At 37.4% G+C, this 26,557-nt stretch overlaps 1 protein-coding gene across 47 annotated transcripts in view; it reads right to left on the minus strand.

Annotated features, from left to right (window-relative positions):
* Nucleotides 1-26,557, minus strand: part of ATP8B4 (ATPase phospholipid transporting 8B4 (putative)) — a 323,617-nt gene that overhangs the window by 90,555 nt on the left and 206,505 nt on the right. For 46 of the 47 annotated variants that reach the window (NR_073597.2, NR_073596.2, NR_073598.2 and 43 more), the window contains 2 exons: nt 23,790-23,998; nt 13,185-13,228 (listed from right to left, as the gene is read on the minus strand). Coding sequence is in view for 42 of the 47 variants with exons in the window: in XM_011522056.4 (XP_011520358.3) it covers nt 13,185-13,228; nt 23,790-23,998 (253 nt within the window). In the remaining 5 variants the exon portion in view is untranslated. Of the gene's footprint in view, nt 1-9,145; nt 9,166-13,184; nt 13,229-23,789; nt 23,999-26,557 lie in introns of those variants that run through there. The other variant, XM_011522070.2, reaches the window with a different exon arrangement.

Here is a 26,557-nt window from a genome sequence, read left to right on the forward strand (position 1 = left end):
TTTAGTTTAATTACATCCCATCAGTCAATTTTGGATTTTGTTGCAATTCCTTTTGGCATTTTTGTAATGAAGTCTTTGCCCATGTCTATGTCTTGAATGGTATTGCCTAGGTTTTCTTCTGCTGAATAGAAGATCCTTTCCCTATTGCTTGTTTTTGTCAGGTTCGTCGAAGATCAGATGGTTGTAAATGTGTGGTCTTATTTGTGAGGTGTCTGTTCTGCCCCATTAGTCTATATGTTTGTTTTGGTACTGGTATTGTGCTGTTTTGGTTATGGTAGCCTGGTAGTATAGTTTGAAGTCAGGTAGCATGATGCCTCCAGCCTTGTTATTTTTGCTTAGGATTGTCTTGGCTATACAGGGTCTTCTTCGATTCCATATGAAATTTAACATAGCTTTTTCTAATTCTGTGAAGAATGACAATGGTAGTTTGATGGGAATAGCATTGAATCTATAAATTACTTTGGGCAGTATGGCCATTTTCATGATATTGATTCTTCCTATCCATGAGCATGGAATGTTTTCCCATTTGTTTGTGTTCTCTCTTATGTCCTTGAGCAGTGGTTTGTAGTTCTCCTTGAAGAAGTCCTTCACATCCTTTGTTTGCTGTATTCCTTGGTATTTTATTCTCTTCGTAGTGATTGTGAATGCGAGTTCATTCATGATTTGGCTCTCTGCTTGCCTATTGTTGGTGTAAAGGAATGTTTGTGATTTCTGCACATTGATTTTGTATCCTGAGACTTTGCTGAAGTTGCTTATCAGTTCAAGAAGTTTTTGTGCTGAGACGATGGGGTTTTCTAAATATAAAATCATATCGTATGCCAACAAAGACAATTTGACTTCCTCTCTTCCTATTTGAATACCCTTTATTTCTTTCTCTTGCCTGACTACCCTGGCCAGAACTTTCAATATTATGTTGAATGGGAATGGTGAGAGAGGGCATCTTGCACTGGTTTTCAAAGGGAATGCTTCCAGCTTTTGCCCATTCAATATGATATTGGTTGTGGGTTTGTCATAAATAGCTATTATTTTGAGATATGTCCCATCAATACCTAGCTTATCGAGAGTTTTTAACATTAAGGGATGTTAAAGTTTATCAAAGGCCTTTTCTGCATCTATTGAGAAAATCATGTGATTTTTGTCTTTGGTTCTGTTTATGTGATGGATTATGTTTATTGATTTGCATATGTTGAACCAGCCTTGCATCCCAGGGATGAAGCTGACTTGATCATGGTGGATAAGTTTTTTGATGTGCTGGTGGATTCAGTTTGCCAGTATTTTATTGAAGATTTTTGCATCGATATTCATCAGGGATATTGGCCTGAAGTTTTCTTTTTTTGTTGTGTCTCTTCCTGGTTTTGGTATCAGGATGATGCTGGCTTCATAAAATGAGTATGGAGGAGTCCCTCCTTTTCAATTGTTTGAAATAGTTTCAGAAGGAATGGTACCAGCTCCTCCTTGTATTTCTGGTACAATTCAGCTGTGAATCTGTCTGGTCCTGGGCTTTTTTTGGTTGGTAGGCTATTAATTACTGCCTCAATTTCAGAGCTTGTTATTGGTCTACTCAAGGATTCAACTTCTTCCTGGTTTAGTCTTGATAAGGTGTATGCATCCAGGAATTTATCCATTTCTTCTAGGTTTTCTAGTTTATTAGTGTAGAGGTGTTTATAGTATTCTCTGATGGTAGTTTGTGTTTCTGCGAGGTCAGTGGTGATATTCCCTTTATCATTTTTTATTGTGTCTGTTTGATTCTTCTCTCTCTTCTTCTTTTTTAGTCTAGCTAGCCATCTATGTATTAACTAAAAAAAAAAAACAAACAAACAAACAAACAAAAAAAACAACAACAACAACAAAAAACCAGCTCCTGGATTCGTTGATTTTTTGGAGGGTTTTTTGTGTCTCTAGCTCCTTCAATTCTTCCATGCTGTTAGTTATTTCTTGTCTTCTGCTAGCTTTTGGATTAGTTTGCTCTTGCCTCTCTAGCTCTTTTAATTGTAATGTTAGGGTGTTGATTTGAGAACTTTCTAGCTTTCTGATGTGGGCATTTAGTGCTATAAATTTCCCTCTTAATGCTGCTTTAGCTGTGTCTCAGAGATTCTGGTACACTGTCTCTTTGTTCTCATTGGTTTCAAAGAACTTCTTGATTTCTGCCTTAATTTCATTACCCAGGAGTCATTCAGAAGCAGGTTGTTTAATTTCCATGAAATTGTGTCATTTTGAGTGAGTTTCTTAATCCTGAGTTCTAATTTAATTGCACTGTGGTCTGAGAGACTGTTTTTTTGTGATTTCAGTTCTTTTGCATTTGCTGAGGAGTGTTTTACATCCAATTATGTGTTCAATTTTAGAATAAGTGCCATGTGGCACTAAGAAGAATGTATATTCTGTTGATCTGGGGTAGACAGTACTGTAGACATCTACTAGTTCCACTTGATCCAGAGCTGAGTTCAAGTGCTGAATATCCTTGGTAATTTGCAGTCTCATTGATGTGTCTAATACTGACAGTGGGATGTTAAAGTCTCCCACTATTATTGTGTGGGAGTCTAAGTCTCTGTAGATCTCTAAGAACTTGTTTTATGAATCTGGTTGCTCCTGTACTGGGTGCATATATATTCAGAATAGTTAACTCTTCTTGTTGAATTGTTCCCTTTACCATTATGTAATGCCCTTCTTAGTCTTTTTTTTATCTTTCTTGGTTTAAAGTCCGATTTGTCAGAGACTAGGATTGCAAACCCTGCTTTTTTTTGCTTTCCATTTTCTTGATAAATTTTCCTCCATCCCTGTATTTGGAGCCTGTTTCTTTGCACATAAGATGAGTCTCCTGAATACAGCACACTAATGGGTCTTGATTCCCTATCCAATTTCCCAGTCTGTGCCTTTTCATTGGGGCATTTAGCTCATTTATATTTAAGGTTAGTATTGTTATATGTGAATTTGATCCTGTCATCATGATGCTATTTGGTTATTTTGCACACTAGTTGATGCGGTTTCTTCATAGTGTCATTGGTCTTTATAATTTAATGTATTTTTTCAGTGGCTGGTACGGGTTTTTCCTTTCCATATTCAGTGTTTCTTTCAGGAGCTCTTGCACAGCAGGCTTGGTGGTAACAAAATCCCTCAGCATTTGCTTATCTGGAAAGGATTTTATTTCTCCTTCACTTATGAATCTTAGTTTGGCTGGATACGAAATCCTGGGTTGAAAATTCTTTTCTTTAAGAATGTTGAATATTGACCCCCAATCTCTTCTGGCTTGTAGAGTTTCTGCTGAGAGATCTGCTGATAGTCTGATGGGCTTCCCTCTGTGGGCAACATGGCCTTACTCTCTGGCTGCCCTTAGCAGTTTTTCCTTCATTTGGACCTTGGAGAATCTGAAGATTATATGCCTTGGGGTTGATCTTCTCGTGGAGTATCTTAATGACGTTCTCTGTATTTCTTGAATTTTCATGTTGGACTGTCTTGCTAGGTTAGGGAAGTTCTCCTGGATAATATCCTAAAGTGTTTCTTTTCAGATTGTTTCCATTTTCCCCTTCTCCTTCTGGTCCTCCAATCAATCATAGGTTTGGTGTTTTTATGAAGTCCCATATTTCTTGGAGCTTTGTTCCTTACTTTTCGTTCTTTTTTTCTCTATTCTTGTCTGCTTGTCTTATTTCAGTAAGGTAGTCTTTGAACTCTGATATCCTTTCTTCTGTTTAGTCAATTCGGCTGTTGATACTTGTGTATATTTCACGAACTTCTCATACTGTGTTTTTCAGCTCCATCAGGTCATTTATGTTCCTCTCTAAACTGATTATTCCAGTTAGCAATTCCTCTAACCTTTTATCAAGATTCTTAGGTTCTTTGCATTGGGTTAGAACACACTCCTTTAGCTCATCATAGTTTTTTATTACCCATTTTCTGAAGCCTACATCTACCAATTCACCCATCTGATCCTCTGTCCAGTTCTGCACCCTTGATGGAGAGATGTTGCAATCATTTGGAGGTGAAGAGGTGCTCTAGCCTTTTGGGTTTTCAGCACTTTTTTTTGTTAATTCTTTCTCATCTTCATGAGTTTGTCTCATTTTGGTCTTTGAGGCTGCTGACCCTTGGATGGGGTTTTTGTGGGGGCCTTTTGTTGTTGTTGTTGTTGTCAATACTGTTGTTGCTTTCTGCTTGTTTTTCTTTCAATAGTCAGGTTCCTCTTCTGCAGGGCTGCTGCAGTTTGCTGGGGGTTCACTTCAGGCCTTATTCATCTGATTCACTCCCATGCCTGGAGATGTCACTCAAGGAGGCTGGAGAGCAGCAAAAATGGGTGCCTTCTCCTTCTTCTGGGACCTCTGACCTCGAGGGGCACCAACCTGATGCCAGTAGGATCACTCTTGTATAGGGTGTCTGACAACCCCTGTTGAAGGGTCTCGCCCAGCTGGGTGGCATGGGGAGCAGGACCCATTTAACGAAGCACTTTGTCTCTTGGTGGAAGGGCTGTGTTTCACTGGGTGGAAACCCATTTAATCTGGGCTGCCTAGATTCCTCAGAACAACCAGGAGGAGAGGCTAAGTCTGCTGGTGCGCAGAGACTGCGGCCACCCCTCCCCCTAGGGGCTCAGGTCCAGGGAAAGCCAAATTCTATCCCTAAGTCTCTGGCTGGAGTTACTGGAGATCCTACAGGGAAGCCCAGCTCACTGAGAAGGATGGGTCAGGGTTAGACCTGAAGAGGCCCTCTGGCCGCAGACTACCACAGCCAGTGTGTTGAGCTGTGGGGACAAGTCTTGGGACCAAGCTGTTCAGCCTCCCTGGCTCCAGCAGGGGAAAAGTGCATCCTGGAGCTACAGAAATTGGTGCTGCCCTTCCCCCACCCAAGGAGCTTAGCATGTTAGGCAGTTGTGAGTCCCATTGCTGATTGCTGCTCCTTCCTCAAGGAGCTCAAAAGGCTTAGACAGCAGGCAGCAGCAGCCAGTGGTGGTCACCCCTCCCTCGGGGAGTTCAGCAGGGCTTAAGCAGATTCCAGCTGAGAATGTGCACATTCCGGAGTTGGGATGCTAGACTTTGGTGGGTTTGCAAGTGGGATCTTCTGATCAGTGGGTTGCACAGTTCTGTGGAAAAAGCACAGTTTCCCCGGCTGGGTAGCGTGCTCACTCACTGCCTCCCTTGGCTGGAGGCAGGGGGTTCCCCTTCTCTGTATGTCTCTCAGGTAGGCCGCCCACCACACTGCTCTTCCTTCTCTCCGTGGGTCATGCCAGCCTTCTAGTCAATTTTGAAGAGAGAACCTGGATACCTTGGTTGCCGGTGAAGGATTCACATGCTTATTATGGCTTTTTTTATGGGAGCCTCTGAATGTCACTGCTACTAGTCAGCCATTTTGGCCCTGCCCTGGCTTCCCTACTTTTGAGGGTTTGGGTCTCAGACTGGCTTTCTTGCTCCTCAGCTTGCAGATGGCCTATTGTGGGACTTCATCTTGTGACTGTGTGAGTCAATTCTCCTTAATAAACTCCCCTTCGTGTATACATATATCCTATTAGTTCTGTCCCTCTAGAGAACCCTGACTAATACAGCAACAAAACAATTGATAAGTAGGACCTAATTACACTAAAGAGCTTCTGCACAGCAAGAGAACCATCAAGAGAGTAAACAGACAACCCACAGATTGGGAGAAAATACTCACAAACTATGCATTCAACAAAGACTTAATATCGAGAATTGATAAGGAACTTAAATCATCAAGCAAAAAATGAATATTCCTACTAAAAAGTCAGCAAAGGACATGAACAGACACTTCTCAAAAGAAGACATACAGGCGGCAAACATGAAAAAATGCTCATGATCATTAATCATCAGAGAAATGCAAATCAAAATCATAACGAGATACCATCTCACACCAGTCAGAAAAATTTTTGTTAAAAAATCAAAAAACAACAGCCATTGGTGAGGCTGCGGAGAAAAGGGGATACTTACACGCTCTTGGTGCAAATGAAATGAGTCCAGCCACTGTGGAGAGCCATTTGGAGATTTCTCAGAAAACTAACAGTTGAACTACCATTTGACTCAGCAACCCTATTACTGGGTAATTCCCAAAAGAAAATAAATCATTCTACCAAAAGGACACCTACACCCATATGCCTATCACATTGCTATTCATAACAGCAAAAAACATAGAATAAACCCAGATGCCCATCAGCGGTGGATAGGATTAAGAAAATGTGGTAAATATACACTATGCAGTACTATGCAGCCATTAAAAAATGAACAAAATTATATTCTTTGCAGCTACACAGATGCAGCTGGAGGCCATTATCTTAAGCAAACGTAGAAACAGAAAACCAAATACCACATGTTCTCACTTATAAGTGGAAGCTAAACATTGGGCACACATGGACACAAAGATGGGAACAATAGCCAGTGGGAATTACTAGAGGTAGCATAGAGAGAGGAGAACAGGAGCTGAAAAACTACCTCTTGGGTACTGTGCTTACTACCTGGGTGATGGGTTCAACTGTATCCCAAACCTCAGCATTCTGCAATATGCCTTTGTAACAAACCTGCACATGTACCCCGATTCTAAAACAAAAATGGGAGAAAGAAAACAAACAAACAAAAAACACACAAACAAGACAGAAAATCCCAAGTATTGTTGAGGATGTAGAAAGACTGGAATCCTGGTGCACTGTTCATAGAAATGTAAAATGGTGTAGTCACTATAGAAAACAGTATGAAAGTTCCTCAAAAAATTAAAAATAAAACTACCATACTATCCTGCAATCTCTTATATGTCCAAAAGAATGGAAATCAGGATCTTGAAAAGATATTTGCATTCCCATGTTCATTGCAGCATTATCACAATAGCCAAGAGGTGGAAGCAACCTAAATGTCCATGAATAGACAAACAGATAAGGGAAATGTGATAGATACATACAATGGAATATTATTCAGCCATAAAAAAGGAGGAAATCCTGTCATGCTACAATATGGATGACTCTTGGCATTATTATAAATGAAAAGCGCTGGTCACAGAATGACAAATACAGAATTATTCCACTTTTATGAGATCTCTAAAGTAGTCAAACTCATTGAAACATGAAATAAAATGGTTCTTGCTAGAGACTGGGGAAATGAGAATATGGTGATTTGCTGTGAAATTAGTATAGAGTTTCAGTCATGCAACATTAAAAAAAATTCTACAGATTTGCTATGAGCTTACAGTTAACACTACCATACTCAACACTAAAAAAGTTGTTAAGAGTAAAAAATAGAAACAAAATGAATAAAATGGAATTCAATAAAGAACAGAAAAAAATAGTGGGAAAAGATTCAATAGTAAATATGATCCCTATTAAGGGATTACTGACTTCTGGAATGTACAATATATACTTTTAAAAGTTTATGACTCAAGTATTATCCCTGTAATAATGTCTTTTCAAAAACATTTGATGGGAAATAAGTTTGACAGATGATTTGTCTTAGAGATTGTAGAATAATATTATTTTACACTTTATCCAAGTATATGAGATGACTTATACACAAGACACTCAGTTACTTATGTTGGTCACAGAATCATAGAAACTTATTTAATCACAGACTGTTTTGTTCATGTAATAAATTTTGAACACAGTTGCATTATAAGTTTTTATATTTTAAAATATTTAAAATAAGTGTATATATTATTATATGACTAGTAAGTTCTAAAATAAACACTGGCCTTGGACTTCCCTAAAACCATCCAGAGAAGAAACTGGCCCAAAGAGTTTATAGACAAACTGTCATTCAAATATAAAGTTAACAAATAGTTCTCAACAGATTTTTCTTGAGACAGAGTATCACTCTCACCCGGGCTGGAATGCAGTGGCGAGATCATGGCTCATTGCAGCCTGGAACTGATGGACTCAAGTGATCCTCCTATCTCAGCCTCTCAAGTGTCTAGGACTACAGGTGTGCCCCAGCATGCCTAGCTAATTGGTTTTTTTTGTTGTTTGTAGAGACAGGGTCTCACTATGTTGCCCAGGCTGGTCTCAAACTCCTAGCCTCAAACAATCCTCCCACCTCACCTCTCAAAGTGCTGTGACTATAGGTGTGAGCCACCACACTTGGCCTGAATAGATATTTCTTATGAAGTATTCTTGAAATTAGAGGGTGAACTTCAGCCAAATAGAAAAATAACTGAAAAAAATAAATGAGAAAGGGACTAGTTAGTGGTGGACACAAAATATCTTTAGCTGAAGGAATAGGTCTAAAACCAATAGATTAGGATGACAAAACAAAATGCAAATATTACACACTTGACTATGTGAAAAGATTGCAAAAAAAAAATTGGGAGAACATGTTGATTTCCTCATTTTGGTATTTGAAAACCAAAAAATATCTTTTAAAGCTGCAAATCGACTCATAGAAATTTATATACATTTCAGATTAAGAGTACTATTAAGAAAAATATTAGGAAAATATGAGGAAACGAAAGAGAAATAATAATCTCATCATTGTTCATATTAGGAAATTGATCAATGCTGCCTTAAGAAAAAATTTAAAGTATTATGTAAACACTTGAGAGTATACAGTACAGAAACAATAAAATACTTCCTTAAATATTACAAGAAACGCACACAAACACACACACACAGAGTAAAAGAAAGAGACCATATAAGGAAATAATTATTAAGAATTATAAAGACAAAAAGTAATAACCTAAAATATTATAACAGAACCAAGACAAGATATAGCCCCATGTAAATGGGCCAAACTCATTAAAAGATTGGAACTTAAAGCAAAAGCAAACTATAGCCCTGTGTTCTACACAAAAGATATACCTAAATCAAAGTAATTCAGAAACTTTGAAAATAAAAGGTGGGCAAATATAAACGAAAAATACTCAAGAATAATGATCTTAATATCAAATGACGTTTAAATCAGGCCAAGAAGAATTGAATGAGTCAAAAAAGAGTACTTTTAATGTTAAATTGTGTAATTCATAATAAAAGTTAAACCATTATGACCATCAATGTAACCAAAAACTAGCATCAATACTCAATAAAACAGACTTTGGAATATATATGACCTATGATCAGAACACTTTAATTAGCTTCTTCAACTCAAACAGATAACATAAATAAAAGATAAATAATTATATAGAAGACCTAAAAAAATATAATTAACAAGATAGAGCTAAATTATACATAGCTAATTCCTACCTTAAGAACAGAGAATACAAGTACTTTCTTCTTAAGGGTCCTGAAACATTAATAACAATTAACCTTATTAAGCCACAAAGAAAATCTCAATAAATTCTAAAAGGTAGAAACAATAAAAATATATTCTTTTATTAACAGTGCAATAAAATTAGGGAGAAAAAAACCCTTACCATCTGCAAATTTTAAATTCTTCCTTAAAAGCTTATGGTTCAAACTCAGTGGTTCAATTTGAACTCACTGATATTAGAAAAATAAAGATAAAATAATCATATAAAAATAAAATTAAAATACTTTAATAAACTACATGCCAAAATATATGTAATAAAACTAAAGCAGTGTTCAGGGGGAAATTGTTAACCTTAAATATTTGTATTCTTAAAAAACAGGAAAGAATAAAAATAAATAAATAAAGCATCCAAGTATGAAGTAGGGAAAAGCAAAACAAAAAACTGTAAGGAACGAAGAAGGCATTAATAAAGAAGCAGAAGTTATTGATTAAAATGCAGGAAAAAAATAAGTAAATCCAACAGCTATACTTTTTCATGGAAGAAGGGGCAACTAAACTATTTACTAACATAATTAAGACAGGAAAGGACAAAAACAACACATAAGAAATAATAAAAAGAACCACAGATAAAGAGGAAATTAAAAGACCTATGAGTCTTTTCAAATAAATGCGAAAAGAAATATGAATTTAAAAGACTTATGAGTCTTTGTAAATAAATGTGAAAATAAATGTGAATTTAAAAGACTTATGAGAGCTTGCAAATAAATGTGAAAATCTGATTGAATTTGACAATATTCTAAAAAAATATAATTTTCCAAATCACTCCAAAAGAGATAGAAATTCTAAACAGATAACTACTGTAGACAAGACTGTAAGAACATTATCTAAGAGCTACCACCTGAAATAGCACCAGGTCCACATAATTTTATAGGGGAATTTTATGAAAACTTTAAGGCATATATTATTTTGATTTTATATAAACTGTCCCACAGAATACAAAAAGAAGGAAGGATCCCTTATTTATGTTTCTAAAGCAAATATAACATTGGTAGCAAAACAAATATTATCCCAAAAAAGAACACTGCAGAACCATGTCTCTTACAAAGATCAATGTGCATATCTAAATAAAGCATTAGTAAATAGAATCTAGTAGCATATTAAAAAACAGTTTAACATGACAAGTGGCATTTATTCCAGGAAAATATGGATGAAATTGAATCTGTTAATATGATTCATCATATTAATATATCCACGGAAGAAAAAACATTTTATTATCCTCATGGGTGACAAAGGGCTATTGCTAAATTCAGTATCCAACTTGTACTTTAGAAAAATAAATTTTTATGTGTGAAAATAAATTTATATTTATGGAATAGATGAATATTCCAAAAATATATCTATTCTAATCCAAATTTTTCATTCTGTTTAGTGGGATAATACTAGAAGCATATGCACTAATGTCAGAAATGAAGATATTTAAAAAAAGACCATATTACTTTGTATTATTCTAAGAGTACTAACCAATGCAATTAGATAAGAAAAATAAATTAAAAGTAAAAAAGTTAGAATGACAGGGATAAAATTGTCTCTATTTCCAGATAGTATGGTTATATACTTGGAAACCCCACAAAAAAGACTAGAAGTTACTATAAACAAAAGAAAATATAGTAAGACAGTGTTATACAAAATTAACAATCAAATTTATTGCTTTCATATTAAGAGGCATAATGGAGAGAAAGACACTAGGTGGAAACAATAACCCCAAAAATTAATTGCATACCTAGGAATAATTTTTTTTAATGAGCAAGGTATTTATGCAGAAAACCTGAAAATGCTTCTGAGAGGCACAAAATATGAATTAAGTAGCTTGAAATACATACTGTGTTCTTGGATAAGAAGATTCAACATCATAAGGATATTAACACTTCCTAAGATAATCAATAAATTTAACATCATTCTAACAAAAATATCATGAGGAAAGCTAAATAAGCAAAACAGTTAAGAGAAATCTAGGGGAAAAAAAGAGCACTGAAAAACAACCAGTCTTACCAAATGTTAGAGCCTTGAGCCTTGTCAATAATTTTTTTGGTTTTTTTTTTTTTTTGGAGACGGAGTCTCTGTCACCCAGTCTGGAGTGCAGTGGCGAGATCTCAGCTCACTGCAACCTCTGCCTCCCAGGTTCAAGCAAATCTCCTGCCTCAGGCTCCCAAGTAGCTGGGACTATAGGCACCACCACCACGCTTGGCTAATTTTTATGTTTTTAGTACAGACGGGGTTTCACCATGTTGGCCAGGCTGGCCTTGAACTCTTGACCTCATGTGATCCTCCTGCCTCAGCCTCCCAAAGTGCTGGGATTACAGGCATGAGCCACCACGCCCAGCCTTTGTCAATAATTAAAACAGTATGATGCTAACATATGCCAGAAAGAAAACACATCAAAAATTCAGTAATAGACCTAGTACACAAGAGTTAGGCATGCTATAAAAGTAATATCCCAAATCAGTGAAAAAGAGGACAGGCTTTTAAATAAATGGGTAAAGTCAGTAATCATCTAGAGAAAAATATATTTGGACTTATATTTTACATCCCACACCAGGATAAAATCCAAATGAATCTAAGATTTAAATGTAAAACATTAACTCTATAATGATGGTGTGCTTTATATCTAAGGCATAAACCTCAGTGATGGAGGAAAAAGTGATAAACTCAATTACATGAAAATAAAATATTTTTCATGGCAAAAATACCAGAAAAATAATCATGGGACAAAGGACAAATTGGGAAAAGAATACATAAAACTCATTTCACAGACAAATACTTATTTTCCCTAATATAGAAATATACAAGTTAATTTTTGTAATAGACAACCCAATAGAAGAAAATGGGTAAAAAAATTATGAACCAGAGGCCGGGCGCAGTGGCTCACGCCTGTAATCCCAGCACTTTGGGAGGCTGAGGCGGGTGGATCACGAGGTCAGGAGATCAAGACCATCCTGGCTAACATGGTGAAACCTGGTCTCTACTAAAAAATACAAAAAATTAGCCAGGCATGGTGGCGGGCGCCTGTAGTCCCAGCTACTCGGGAGGCTGAGGCAGGAGAATGGCGTGAACCCAGGAGGCAGAGCTTGCAGTGAGCCGAGATTGCGCCACTGCGCTCCAGCCTGGGCGAAAGAGCAAGACTCCATCTCAAAAAAAAAAAAAAATTATGAACCAGAAACTTACAGAAATATCATAAGCTCTTAAACATGAAAATATGTTGACCCTACTTATAACAAGAGAAGTTAAAATTAGAACCAATATTGATGTACCCATTTTTCATATAATCTCATCAAAGATCATAAACTTTGATAAAACATTGTGTTGGTGACAGTGGGGGAAATCAGACACTCTTACACTTGTTTGTGTCAGGGTAAATTGTTATAAATTCTAAAGAAGGCAATTTGCAATATTTATCAAATTACAAATGCAGATACCTTTTGATTTAGCAATTCTATTTCTAGAAACAGATTCTATATTCTCTAACATGTGAAATAACATATGTACACAGTTTTTTTGCTGCATTTTCTTTACTAGAAAAATATTGAAAATCCTAAATGTCCATTAGAGTCTCTTCATATAAATTTTGGAACATCAATATAACAAAATACCATTCAGCCATTAAAAAGAACGAGAAAGTACTTTTTTAAAACTAATCTAGAAAGATCTCCAAGATATATTGTTGAGAACGCTGAAGAACATTATGTAAATTATGCTACCACCTATATAATTATTTTTCTCACTATGTAAAAGGTGTGGAAATATAATTCCTTGTATCTGCATAAATATCTCAAGAATAAAAAATAGAAGGAACTCTGTGGTTGGTTCAGTAATATGAGAAGGAATTTTGAATCATATTAATCTATTTTTTAATGCTATGCATTAAGTATCTCATCTGGTCTTGGTGGAAATCAGGACACTAAAAGTTTATCATTTTCTTAAAAGTACATATAATTTGAAATTAAAACTAAGAATAAAATTTTATCACTTCCACACCTGAGTTATTTCTGTCTTCTGATCCAGGTCATCATGTACTTCACCTGACAAAACAAAAATTGAGAATTAAAAGTAAGTGAAACCGAAATTAGAATTAGACATTTAGTTTTAAGGAATACACTTATTATTTATTACATCACCATTACTAAATGGCATTATGAATTTAAACAGGCGAATGGTTTTAGGAGTGCTTTCAAATTGTAACCATAAACATGGCAATTATGCAGTGAGACATTCGTGTTTGCCCAAGATAGGACTAAAGTGCAGTAGGCATTAAAACAAAAAATGAAGCAATTATGTTTTTCTGTAAATGTTATCATTCTGTTATTACATTATCTATGATATTTGCAAGAGGCAAATTTCTATCTTCCACATCATTCCCACTGTTGAGAAATCCAAAATGATATCCTTGCCAGGCCAATTCTTCCCAATGCAGAACTTTGCCTATCTTGGTTTGGGCCAGACACATCTGTGTAATATCAAGATCAAATTAGCATGTAAGCCTTAAACAATGCCAGTACTTTCTGCAGTCAGAAAACATAGCCACCCATATGCCAGAAATTTAAAATAACTTTTTTCTTAGTACAAAGCTAATATGTACTTATTATAGATCTAATAGAAAATAAGGGACATTTACAATAGAAAATAAAAATCACTTCCCTTCATCCAGAAATAACTAGTATTTGTAGAATGATTTTATTGTGTATTTTTATATACACATATATTCACCATATTGTTCATAATCTTCTTGTTTTTACAGTTTTTAACCATGTAAAGTATGAGAATTTCTCCTATCAAATTGTTGTGAATCTTATTTTGAATCGTTGTATAGTAGCCCATGATTATAGATGTAGCATAATTTATTTTCCCTTTCCCTATTGTGAGTCATTAATTTTTTAAATTTTTACTTGGCATTGGAAGGTTTCATACTATTTGCCAGGATTAAATTTCTTATAATAATAATGAGTTACTTAAAGAAACTACCATCAGAGTGAACAGACAACCTACAGAATGAGAGAAAATTTTTGCAATCTATCCATCTGACAAAGGTCTAATATCCAGAATCTACAAGGAACTTAAACAAATTTACAAGAGAAAAAACCCGACAACCGCCATTAAAATGTGGGCAAAGGACATGAACAGACACTTCTCAAAAGAAGAATAAATGGGGACAACAAAAATATGAAAAAAAGCTTAACATTACTGATCATTGTAGAGAAATGCAAATCAAAACCACAATGAGAAACCACCTCACGCCAGTCAGAATGGCTATTACTAAAAGGTCAAAAAATAACAGGTGCTGGCAAGGTTGTGGAGAGAAAGAAACTCTTACAGTGGGACTGGAAATTAGTTCAACCATTGTGGAAGACAGTGTGGCGATTCCTCAAGGACCTAAAGGCAGAAATAACATTAGATCCAGCATTCCAATTACTGGGTATATATCAAAGGAATATAAATCATTCTATTATAAAGATACACACACATACGTTCATTGCAACACTAATCACAATAGAAAAGACACGGAATTAGCCTAATGCCCATCAGTGATAGACTGGGTAAAGAAAATGTGGTACATATACACTATGGAATACTATGCAGCCGTGAAAAGGAATGAGGTCATGTCCTTTGCCGGGACATGGATAGAGCTGGAATCCATCATCCTCAGCAAACTAACACAGGAACAGGAAACCAAACACTGCATGTTCTCACTTATAAGTGGGAGCTGAATGATGAGAACACATGGACACATGCGGGATACAGCACACACTGGGGCCTGTTGATGTGGGAAGGGAGAGCATCAAGAATAGCTAAAGGATGCTGGGCTTAATACCTAGGTGATGGGATGATCTGTCTAGGAAACCACCATGGCACACGTTTACCTATGTAACAAACCTGTACATCCTGAACATGTACCCCTGAACTTAAAAGTTGAAAAAAAAAAAGTTACTTGAATCAACCTGTGCCAGGCTCTTAAATTATCACTGATCCTTATAATAAACTTGCAAAGTGAAGATTTTCATTTCTGTTTTATGGATAAGGGAACCAAAGAATGGTTCAAAATGACATGACTAAATGAAAACTAAAGTAAGCATAGTGGGTTTTTAAATCTAAGTTCTCTCTCTCTTCTTTATACAATGCTATGAGCACCAACCACTTGACAAGCAGTTCTATTTGTTGTTTCTCTGGGGTGCTGGTCTGAATCTGGAATGCTGTATGGCTGCTGTGTGGGAGGAGTCCCTGAGCTAGTGAGTGAATCTGGCCTAGCACCTGGAATTTAAATCTCAAATTCACTGTGTTATGCTCTAGTGGTTACCCTGTATGCAGTCACTGTAATAAAATGATGGAAAAGAGAAAAAGAAAAAAAAAACTGTGTCTTTGTGTTAAATGGTCTGCCTCCTCCCTACAGTAAAAGCCCATTTACAGGGCTGTTGATGAAAGTGAAGAAAAATTGCCTAAGAAGATAATATTTCTTAGCCAGGAAATAGAAGATTTAGATAAATTAAAGTCAAATGTTAAATTTTCCCAAGGCCTACATCTGTGATATTAATACCCCCAACTTGTATGAAAACAAGGAAAAATGATTCTGAAACATTGAGTGCTTTACTAAGAATTTATTTTAATGATGTTATAAATGCATTATAAATTATAACAGCATATAAATTAAGAGTCTAAAGGGATTACTTAAACCTTTAAGTTACTTTCCTGCATTTCACGAGAGGAATTACAAGCTATCATGGGATTTGTGAATTTGGAGATTTGCAAAAATCTTGTGAAAGTCAAGAGCCTTCTCCAAAAATAGGACATTTATCACAAAATGTGATAAACATTTCAACAAATGAATCCTGGTCCACATGTCTGATAAGTCCTTTAAGATTGCTTCCTAGAAGTGATTGTATTATTAGATCAATATGTGGCAAAAAAAATCCAAAAGGTCCCCAAAACTCAAAATATTTTCAATATTCTGATTAAAAGTTTCCCATTTAAACTATGTTTTGGGTTAAAGCAATATTTTTAGAAAGCCTCTGAAAATAATGTCCAATGGGAACTTTTTAAGGAAAGGTTCTATGTTATTTACCAGTCATTATGATACTGATATAAGATTAATACATTGATATAACAATGCAACTGTGGGCTTGTGGAAGTCCAGGTTGGAAATCATCTTGTCTACTGCCAGAGAAGGCAGGAGGGGAAGCTGGGAGTGGAAGACAGCTGAGGAAACCATAATGCCCATGGGTTATAGGGGTGTGGGTAACCAAAGGAGGTCAAAAAGTAGGAGATTGCAAACATCAACTTCTTCTTAGTTTTGTTCAGGGTCAAATCTTGCTTTAAAATACTTGGCAATGTGTGAAGTTTCCCATCAGGGGACAAAGGAAAAGTTTCCCCTTTTTCTTGGATTTCCTTTACCTCCTGAGATTTCTGTATTGAGAAAGTGGACACTCAGAATCCCATGAAGGGACATTGGGAGACCAGAGGAATCCACAGAAAGTTCCGCAGAGCCTCTGTGCTCTCAGCAGAAGGAACAATCTGCAAAACGGCCAGCGTTGGGGTGACAAGGGTCACATATAAACAGAATGCTTGAAAAGCCAAATGTAGAGCATGTATTCTGATAAAAGCACGCAAACAAGAAGTGGGTATTAATGAAACAGCTTATCTGGCCATTCAAGGCAGCCCCGTAAATGAATAGTAGATTCCCAAAACCATGTGCACTTACATAAACCCCAGAGCTGATAGGAATCAAGTATAAAATGCTGCCCTTACTGACATAACTCAGGCTACCAAGAACTTGCCCTCCCTAGGATATGGTTCTATTCAGCACTACAAAACAGAATCACACAGCTGGGGGGACCTGGGCAAGATGGACAAATAGGAACAGCTCTGGTCCGTAGCTCCCAATGAGATCAACACAGAAGGGAGGCAATTCTGCATTTCCAACTAAGGTAACTGGCTAATCTCATTGGGACTGGTTAGACAGTGGGTGCAGCCCATGAAGGGCAAGCAGAAATAGGGTGGGGTGTCACCTCACCGGGGAAGTGCAAGGAGTCAGGGAACTCCCTCCCCTAGCAAAGGGAAGCCTTGAGGGACTGTGCCATGAAGAACGGTGCATTCCAGCCCAGATACTACGCTTTTCCCATGGTCTTCACAACCCGCAGAGCAGGAGATTCCCGCAGGTGCCTACACCACCAGGGCCCTGGGTTTCAAGCACAAAACTGGGCAGCCATTTGGGCAGGCCCCAAGCTAGCTGCAGGAGTTTTTTTTCATACCCCAGTGGCACCTGGAATGCCAGTGAGACAGAACCATTCACACCCCTGGAAAGGGGACTGAAGTCAGGGAGCCAAGTGGTCTAACTCAGCAGATCCCACCCCCATGGAGCCCAGCAAGCTAAGATCCACTGGCTTGAAATTCTCACTGCCAGCACAGCAGTCTGAAGTTGACCTGGGACGCTCGAACTTGGTGGTGGGAGGGGCATCCACCATTACGGAGGCTTGAGTAGGCAGTTTTCCCCTCACGGTGTAAACAAAGCCAGGATGTTCAAACCAGGCGGAGCCCACTGCAGCTCAGCAAAGCCTCTGTAGCCAGACTGCCTTTCTAGATTCCTCCTCTCTGGGCAGGAAATCTCTGAAAGAAAGGCAGCGGCCCCAGTCAGGGGCTTATAGATAAAACTCCCATCTCCCTGGGACAGCGCACCTGGGGGAAGGGGTGGCTGTGCGCGCAGCGTCAGCAGAATTATATGTTCCTGCCTGCCGGCTCTGAAGAGAGCAGCAGATCTCCCAGCACAGCACTCCAGCTCTGCTAAGGGACAGACTGCTTCCTCAAGTGGGTCCCTGACCCCTGTGTATCCTGACTGGGAGACATCTCCCAGCGGAGGTCGACAGACACCTTATATAGGAGAGTCCTGGCTGACATCTGGCAAGTGCCCCTCTGGGACAAAGCTTCCAGAGGAAAGAACAGGCAGCAATTTTTGCTGTTCTGCAGCCTCCGCTGGTGATACTCAGGCAAACAGGGTCTGGAGTGGACCTCCAGCAAACTCCAGCAGACCTGCAGCTGAGGGGCCTGACTGTTAGAAGGAAAACTAACAAACAGAAGTGAATAGCATCAACATCAACAAAAAGGACATCCACACAAAACGCCATCTGAAGGTCACCCACAACAAAGACCAAAGGTAGATAAATCCATGAAGATGAGGAAAAACCAGTGCAAAAAAGCTGAAAATGCCAAAAACCAGAACGCCTCTTCTCCTGCAAAGGATCACAACTGCTCACCAGCAAGGGAACAAAACTGGACAGAGAATGAGTTTGACAAACTGACAGAAGTAGGCTTCAGAAGGTGGGTAAAAACAAACTCCTCCCAGCTAAAGGAACATGTTCTAACCCAATGCAAGGAAGCTAAGAACTTTGTAAAAAGGTTAGACAAATTGCTAGCTAGAATAACCAGTTGGGAGAAGAACATAAGTGACCTGATGGAGCTGAAAAACACAGCACAAGAACTTCGTGAAGCATACACAGGAATCAATAGCTGAATCGATCAAGTGGAAGAAAGGATATCAGAGAGATTGAAGATCAACTTAATGAAATAAAGCATGAAGAAAAGATTAGAGAAAAAAGAATGAAAAGGAACGAATAAAGCCTCCAAGAAATATGCGACTATGTGAAAAGACCAAACCTACGTTTCATTGGTGTACCTGAAAGTGATGGGGAGAATGGAACCAAGTTGGAAAACACCCTTCAGGATATTATCCAGGAGAACTTCCCCAACCTAGTGAGGCAGGCCAACATTCAAATTCAGAAAATACAGAGAACACCACAAAGATACTCCTTGAGAAGAGCAACTCCAAGACACATACTCATCAGATTCATCAAGGTTGAAATGAAGGAAAAAATGTTAAGCACAGCCAGAGAAAAAGGTCAGGTTACCCACAAAGGGAAGCCCATCAGACTAACAGTGGATCTCTCTGCAGAAACTCTACAAGCCAGAAGAGAGTGAGGGTCAATATTCAACAGTCTTAAAGTAAAGAATTTTCAACCCAGAATTTCATATCCAGCCAAACTAAGCTTCATAAGTGAAGGAGAAATAAACGCCTTTACAGACAAGGAAATGTTGAGAGATTTTTGTCACCACCAGGCCTGCCTTACAAGAGCTCCTGAAAGAAGCACTAAATATGGAAAGGAAAAACCCATACCAGCCACTGCAAAAACATACCAAATTGTAAAGACCATTGACACTATGAAGAAACTGCATCAACTAATGGGCAAAATGACCAGCTAGCATCATAATGACAGGATCAAATTCACACATAACAATATTAACCTTAAATGTAAATGGGCTAAATGCCCCAATTAAAAGACACACTGGCAAACTGCATAAAGAGTCAAGACCCACTGGTGTGCTGTATTCAGGAGAGCCATCTCATGTGCAAAGACACACATAGGCTCAAAATAAAGGGATGGAGGAATATTTACCAAACAAATGGAAAGCAAAAAAAAGCAGGGGTTGCAATCCTAGTCTCTGAAAAAACAGACTTTAAACCAACAAAGACCAAAAGAGACAAAGAAGGGCATTACATAATGGTAAAGGGATCAATGCAACAAGAAGAGTTAACTATCCTAAATATATATGCATCCAATACAGGAGCACCCAGATTCATAAAGCAAGTTCTTAGAGACGTACAAACAGACTTAGACTCCCACACAATTATAGTGGGAGACTTTAACACCTCATTGTCAATATTAGACAGATCAACGAGACAGAAAATTAACAAGGATATTCAGCACTTGAACTCAACTCTGGACCAAGCGGACCTAATAGACATCTACAGAACTCTCCACCCCAAATCAACAGAATATACATTCTTCTCAGCACCACATTGCATTTATTCTAAACCTGACCACATAATTGGAAGTAAAACACTCCTCAGCAAATGCAAAAGAATGGAAATCACAACAAACAGTCTCTCAGACCACAGTGTAATCAAAGTAGAACTCAGGGTTAAGAAATTCACTCAAAACCACACAACTACATGGAAACTGAACAACTTGCTCCTGAATGACTACTAGGTAAATAACGAAATAAAGGCAGAAATAAGTAAGTTCTTTGAAACCAATGAGAACAAAGAAACGATGTACCAGAATCTCTGGGACACAGATAAAGCAGTGTTTAGAGGGAAATTTATAGCAACAAATGCCTACAGGAGAAAGATGGAAAGATCTAAAATTGACATCCTAACATCACAATTAAAATAACTAGAGAATAAAGAGCAAACAAATTCAAAAGCTAGCAGAAGACAAGAAATAACTAACATCAGAACAGAATGGAAGGAGATAGAGACACGAAAAACCCTTCAAAAAATCAATGAGTCCAGGAGCTGGTTTTTTGAAAAGATTAACAAAATAGACAGACCACTAGCCAGAATAATAAAGAAGGAAAGAGAGAAGAATCAAATAGACACAATAAAAAATTATGAAGGGGATATCACCACTGATCACACAGAAATAAAACTACCATGAGATAATACTATAAACACCTCTATGCAAATAAACTAGAAAATCTAGAAGAAATGGATACATTCCTGGACACATCAACCTCCCAAGACTAAACCAGGAAGAAGTCAAATGCCTGAATAGACCAATAACAAGTTCTGAAATTGAGGCAGTAATTAATAGCCTACCAACAAAAAAAGCCCAAGACCAGAGAGATTCACAGCTGAAATGTACCAGAAATACAAAGAGGAGCTGGTACCATTCCTTCTGAAACTATTCCAAACAATAGAAATGGAGAAACTCCTCCCTAACTCATTTTATCAGGCCAGCCTCATCCTGATACCAAAACTGGGAAGAGACACAACAAAAAAAGAAAATTTCAGACCAATATCCCTGATGAACATCAGTGCGAAAATCCTCAATAAAATACTGGCAAACCAAATCCAGCAGCACTTCAAAAAGCTTATCCACCACGATCAAGTTGGCTTCATCCCTGGGATGTAAGGTGGTTCAACATATGCAAACCAATAAATATAATCCATCACATAAACAGAACCAATGATAAAAACCACATGATTATCTCAATAGATGCAGAAAAGGCCTTTGATAAAATTCAGCACCCCTTCATGCTAAAAACTCTCAATAAACTAGGTATTGAGGGAATGTATCTCAAAATAATAAGAGCTATTTATGACAAACCCACAGCCAATATCATACTGAATGGGCAAAAGCTGGAAGCATTCCCTTTGAAAACCAGCACAAGACAAGGATGCTCTCTCTCGCCACTTCTGTTCAACATAGTATTGGAAGTTCTGACCAGGGCAATCAGGCAAGAGAACGAAATAAAGGGTATTCAGATAGGAAGAGAGGAAATCAAATTGTCTCTGTTTGCAGATGACATGATTGCATATTTAGAAAACCCCATCGTCTCAGCCTCAAATCCCCTTAAGCTGATAAGCAACTTCAGCAAAGTCTCAGGATACAAAATCAGTGTGCAAAAATCAAAAGCATTCCTATACACCAATAATAGACAAACAGAGAGCCAAATGATGAGTGAACTCCCATTCACAATAGCTACAAAGAGAATAAAATACCTAGAAATACAGCGAACAAGGAATGCGAAGGACCTTTTCAAGGAGAGCTACAAACCACTGTTCTAGAACATGAGAGAGGACACAAACAATGGGAAAACATCCCATGCTCATGGATAGGAAGAATCAATATTGTGAAAATGGCCATACTTCCCAAAGTAATTTATAGATTCAGTGCTATCCCCATCAAGCTACCATTGACTTTCTTCACAGAATTAGAAAAAACTACTTTAAATTTCATATGGAACCAAAAAAGAGCCCATATAGCCAAGACAATCCTAAGCAAAAAGAACAAAGCTGGAGGCATTACACTACCTGACTTCAAACTATACTACAAGGCTACAGCAACCAAAACAGCATGTACTGCTACCAAAAGAGATATATAGACCAACTGAACAGAACAGAGGCCTCAGAAATAACGCCACACACCTACAACCCATCTGATCCTTGACAAACCTTCAAAAACAAGCAATGGAGAAAGGATTCCCTGTTTAATAAATGGTATTGGGAAAACTGGCTAGCCATATGCAGAAAACTGTAACTGGACCCCTTCCTTACACCTTATACAAAAATTAACTCAAGATGGACTAAAAAGTTAAACATAAGACCTAAAACCATAAAAACCTAGAAGAAAACCTAGGCAATGCCATTCAGGACATAGGCATGGGCAAAGACTTCATGACTAAAACACCAAAAGCAATGGCAACGAAAGCCAAAATTGACAAATGGGACCTAATTAAACTAAAGAGCTTCTGCACAGCAAAAGAAACTATCATCAGAGTGAACAGGCAACCTACAGAATGGGAGAAAATATTTTCAATCTATCCATCTGACAAAGGACTAATATCCAGAATCTACAAAGAACTTAAACAAATTTACAAGATAAAAACAAACAACCCCATCAAAAAGTGGGCAAAGGATATGAACAGACACTTCTCAAAAGAAGACATTTATGTGGCCAGCAAACATATGAAAAAAAGCTCATCATCACTGGTCATTAGAGAAATGCAAATCAAAACCACAGTGAGACATCATCTCAGGCCAGTTAGAATGGCAATCATTAAAAAGTCAGGAAAAAAACACATGCTGGAGAGGATGTAGAGAAATAGGAACACTTTTACACTGTTGGTGGGAATGTGAATTAGTTCAACCATTGTGGAAGACAGTGTGGCAATTCCTCAAGGATCTAAACCAGAAATACCATTTGACCCAGCAATTCCATTACTGGGTATATACCCAAAGGATTACAAATCATTCTACTGTAAAGACACATGCACACATATGTTTACTGCAGCACTATTCACAATACCAAAGACTTGGAACCTACCCAAATGCCCATCAGTGATAGACTGGATAAAGAAAATATGGCACATATACACCATGAAATACTATTGCAGCCATAAAAAAGGATGAATTCATGTCCTTTGCAGAGACATGGGTGAGGCTGGAAACCATCATTCTCAGCAAACTAACACAGGAACAGAAAACCAAACACCGCATATTCTCACTCGTAAGTGGGAACTGAACAATGAGAACACATGAACACAGGGAGGGGAACATCACACACCAGGGAGTGTTGGGACGTGGGAGGCTAGGGGAGGGATGGCATTAGGAGAAATACCTAATGTAGACGACGGGTTGATGGGTACAGCAAACCACCATGGTACATGTATACCTATGTAACAAACTTGCACGTTCTGCACATGTATCCCAAAACTTAAAGTATAATAATAATAATAAAGAATCACACAGAGCACTGAAACGAACTTCAGAGAGTATCATATCTAACCCTTTTCTCTATCCATGAATGGCAATAAATCCAAAGTTTCATCTAAATTACTCAACATTTATCCAATACATATTTAGTGAGAATTTATCATCTGCCAAGCATATCAGCATCTATATGGTAGATGCTGACGGTGCCCATATTAATAAGAAAGCCAGCGACTGTTTTGGATTTTTAAATTTTTTTTTAATGGGGTCAGTTATTCAAGAAATTGTTAACAATATCGTTAAGAGAAAGGAACTGTTTCTCTTACCATAGATTCTCCCATTAATGGAACATCTTTTAAAGGTCATGATGTTTTGAGTGAGGGTACCCGTTTTGTCGGAGAAAATGTACTCAATCTGCCCCAGTTCCTCATTGAGCGTGGTCGTTCGAGCCACTGCAGGTATTGCTTTTCGAGAATAATACATCTTCCGGTCCCAGTTTATAAAATAACTGTGTCCTAGACGAATTACTTCCACACTATCATCCATTAAAATGGAAAAAAAGAAAGAAATGCTCCATTAATTTCAGAACATACAATATTTTGCCAAAATAAGAAGTCTGCCAAAGTCTCCAGGGGTTAGAGGAAAATGTGGATGCTCTGTCCCTAGGTCCCAGGGATCTTCAGAAGCTTCTCAACAGAGTCTGTTTATAAACATTTCCAAGTCATTTTCTACAACACCATAAAACAATAAGTCAGCTTAGAATAAAGCTTTAGGGAATGTTTCCTGGTTTTCTACATTAAACAGGCCCGGTGGAGACTTTGTGTGTAGTGTATTATTTTGTGTCTCCTCCTATAAGATACGGCAGTGGTCCCCAACCTTTTGGTCACCGGGGACCAGTTTTGTGGAGGACGCTTTTCCACAGATCAGGGGAAGGGGGATGGTTTCAGGATGATTCAAGCACATTACAATTAATGTGCACTTTATTTCTATTATAATACTGCAATATATAAACTGCTGTGCAGTTCACAATAGGGTTTGCACTCCTTTGAGAATCTAATGCTGCTGCCACTGATCTGACAGGAGGCAGAGCTCAGGTCTGTGGCCTGGGAGTTAGGGAACTCTGTGGTAGGGGAAACTAATGATTATTGAAGATGTTTGTCTTATGTCTGATCTAAAGAAATGTGCTATTGAGAACATTCTCTCCAATACATTGTTTGATGTGGCTTCACTTTGCCAAAAGAGATAGAAAACAGTATTTCCATGAAGCAGAACCAAACCATAACAAATACTGAGTGAAAACAGGATGTGTTGTCATACCACTCTTCCCATTTACCATGAAAAGTGTTGCATCACATTCTAATTACATAATTACATTAATTATTACAATAATTATGATTAATATAATTCTGATTACATTCTAGTAATCATTTATGACTTCCAGCTCCAGAAGCAGAATTTTTATGGCAAAGTGTATGAACTCTCTCAATGCTCAACGTCATACATAATGCCAAACTAATTTCCAAAAACGTCATAGCAACATAAGTTTCTACCATCAGATTATTAAGAATTATCTTTCACCACATGCAAATTCAAAAGGTATGTCACCACTGTTCACTGCATTTCTTATCAATGAGTTTAACACTTTTTTCAAATTTTATTGGCCAGTGACATTTCTTCTTGGAACTATCTAATTGTATCTGCCTATTTTATTTTTCCTATTCTGATATCAGTGTATTTATTAATGATTTGTAAGAATTCTATAGTTATTAAGTCTATTAATTCTGTCAAAAAACAATGCAAATATTTTATCCAATTTATCATTTGTCTTTTTTTTTTTTTTTTTTGAGACGGAGTTCCGCTCTTGTTGCCTAAGCTGGAGTGCAACGGCGCAATCTCGGCTCACTGCAACTTCCGCCTCCCTGGTTCAAGCAATTCTCCTGCCTCAGCCTCCCGAGTAGCTGGGATTACAGGCATGCTCCACTATGCCCAGCTAATTTTTGTATTTTTAGTAGAGACGGGGTTTCACTACTACTACTCGAACTACTTGAGTACTCGAACTACTGCCCTCAGGTGATCCACCCACCTCGGCCTCCCAAAGTCCTGGGATTATAGGTGTGAGCCACCGCACCCAGCCACTTGTCCTTTTTTTTTTTTTTAGAGACAGGGTCTTGCTATGTTGCCCAGGTTGGCCTCAAATTCCTGAGCTCAAGCGATCCTCCCACCTCTGCCTCTAGAGTAGCTGGGACTGCATGCACCACCACAGCTGGCTGATTGTCTTTTCATTTTGTTTCCAGTTTTTCAATATGAGTTTTCTCTTTCTAAAGGATCAAATTTATCAAAAGTTTATACTTTCTGTTTTTGTAGTTTTGTTTAGATATGTCTTCTCTATGCCAAGATTATATATACAGACATCTACATTTTTCTTTGTTTTTATTGATATTTTCCTTATTTAATTCCTTATCCCAATTGAAATTTTTGATTGAAATTGAAAGTTTGATATACATATGAGGAGCAAATTTCAAGTTTTCCAAATAAGAAGATTTTACATCACCATTTGTTGAACAATCAATCCTTTCTCCATTAAGCTGGGATGCTTTCTGTGTCACAAATAAATCATTTTACTCACTAGCATCTGATTTATGGATTTCAATTTTATTCATTGATATGACAGCTACTACATCTGTTGTTTTCATTATTGTAGCTTTATAATAACTGGCAATACGTACAAGAAACAAAATCACCTTTATTCTCTTCCTCTTCAAAAATTCTTAACTATAATCACCCATTTATTTTTCCTGATAGAATCAATGTATCCATCTAAGTAAACATTTGAATCAATGTATTAATTTTTCTACAAAATTTATTTGAGATTTTTATTAGGTCTATGTTAAACTCTTAATTATTTGAAAAGAACTGATATTTTATAAACTTAAATACAACTTCAAGAAGGTCAAATCTTTTTAGGAATTCCATTTTTTAAAGTACCTCAATTAGTAAGGAATTTTAGTTTAGTTTAGTTTTGCTTTTTCATATAGATTCATACCATAGTCTTATAGATTTGTTCTTGAACATCACAGTTGTCCCTTGAATCTGT

The sequence above is a fragment of the Homo sapiens genome, chromosome 15 (assembly GCF_000001405.40).
Source record: "Homo sapiens chromosome 15, GRCh38.p14 Primary Assembly".
In the NCBI taxonomy this organism is placed as follows: domain Eukaryota; kingdom Metazoa; phylum Chordata; class Mammalia; order Primates; family Hominidae; genus Homo; species Homo sapiens.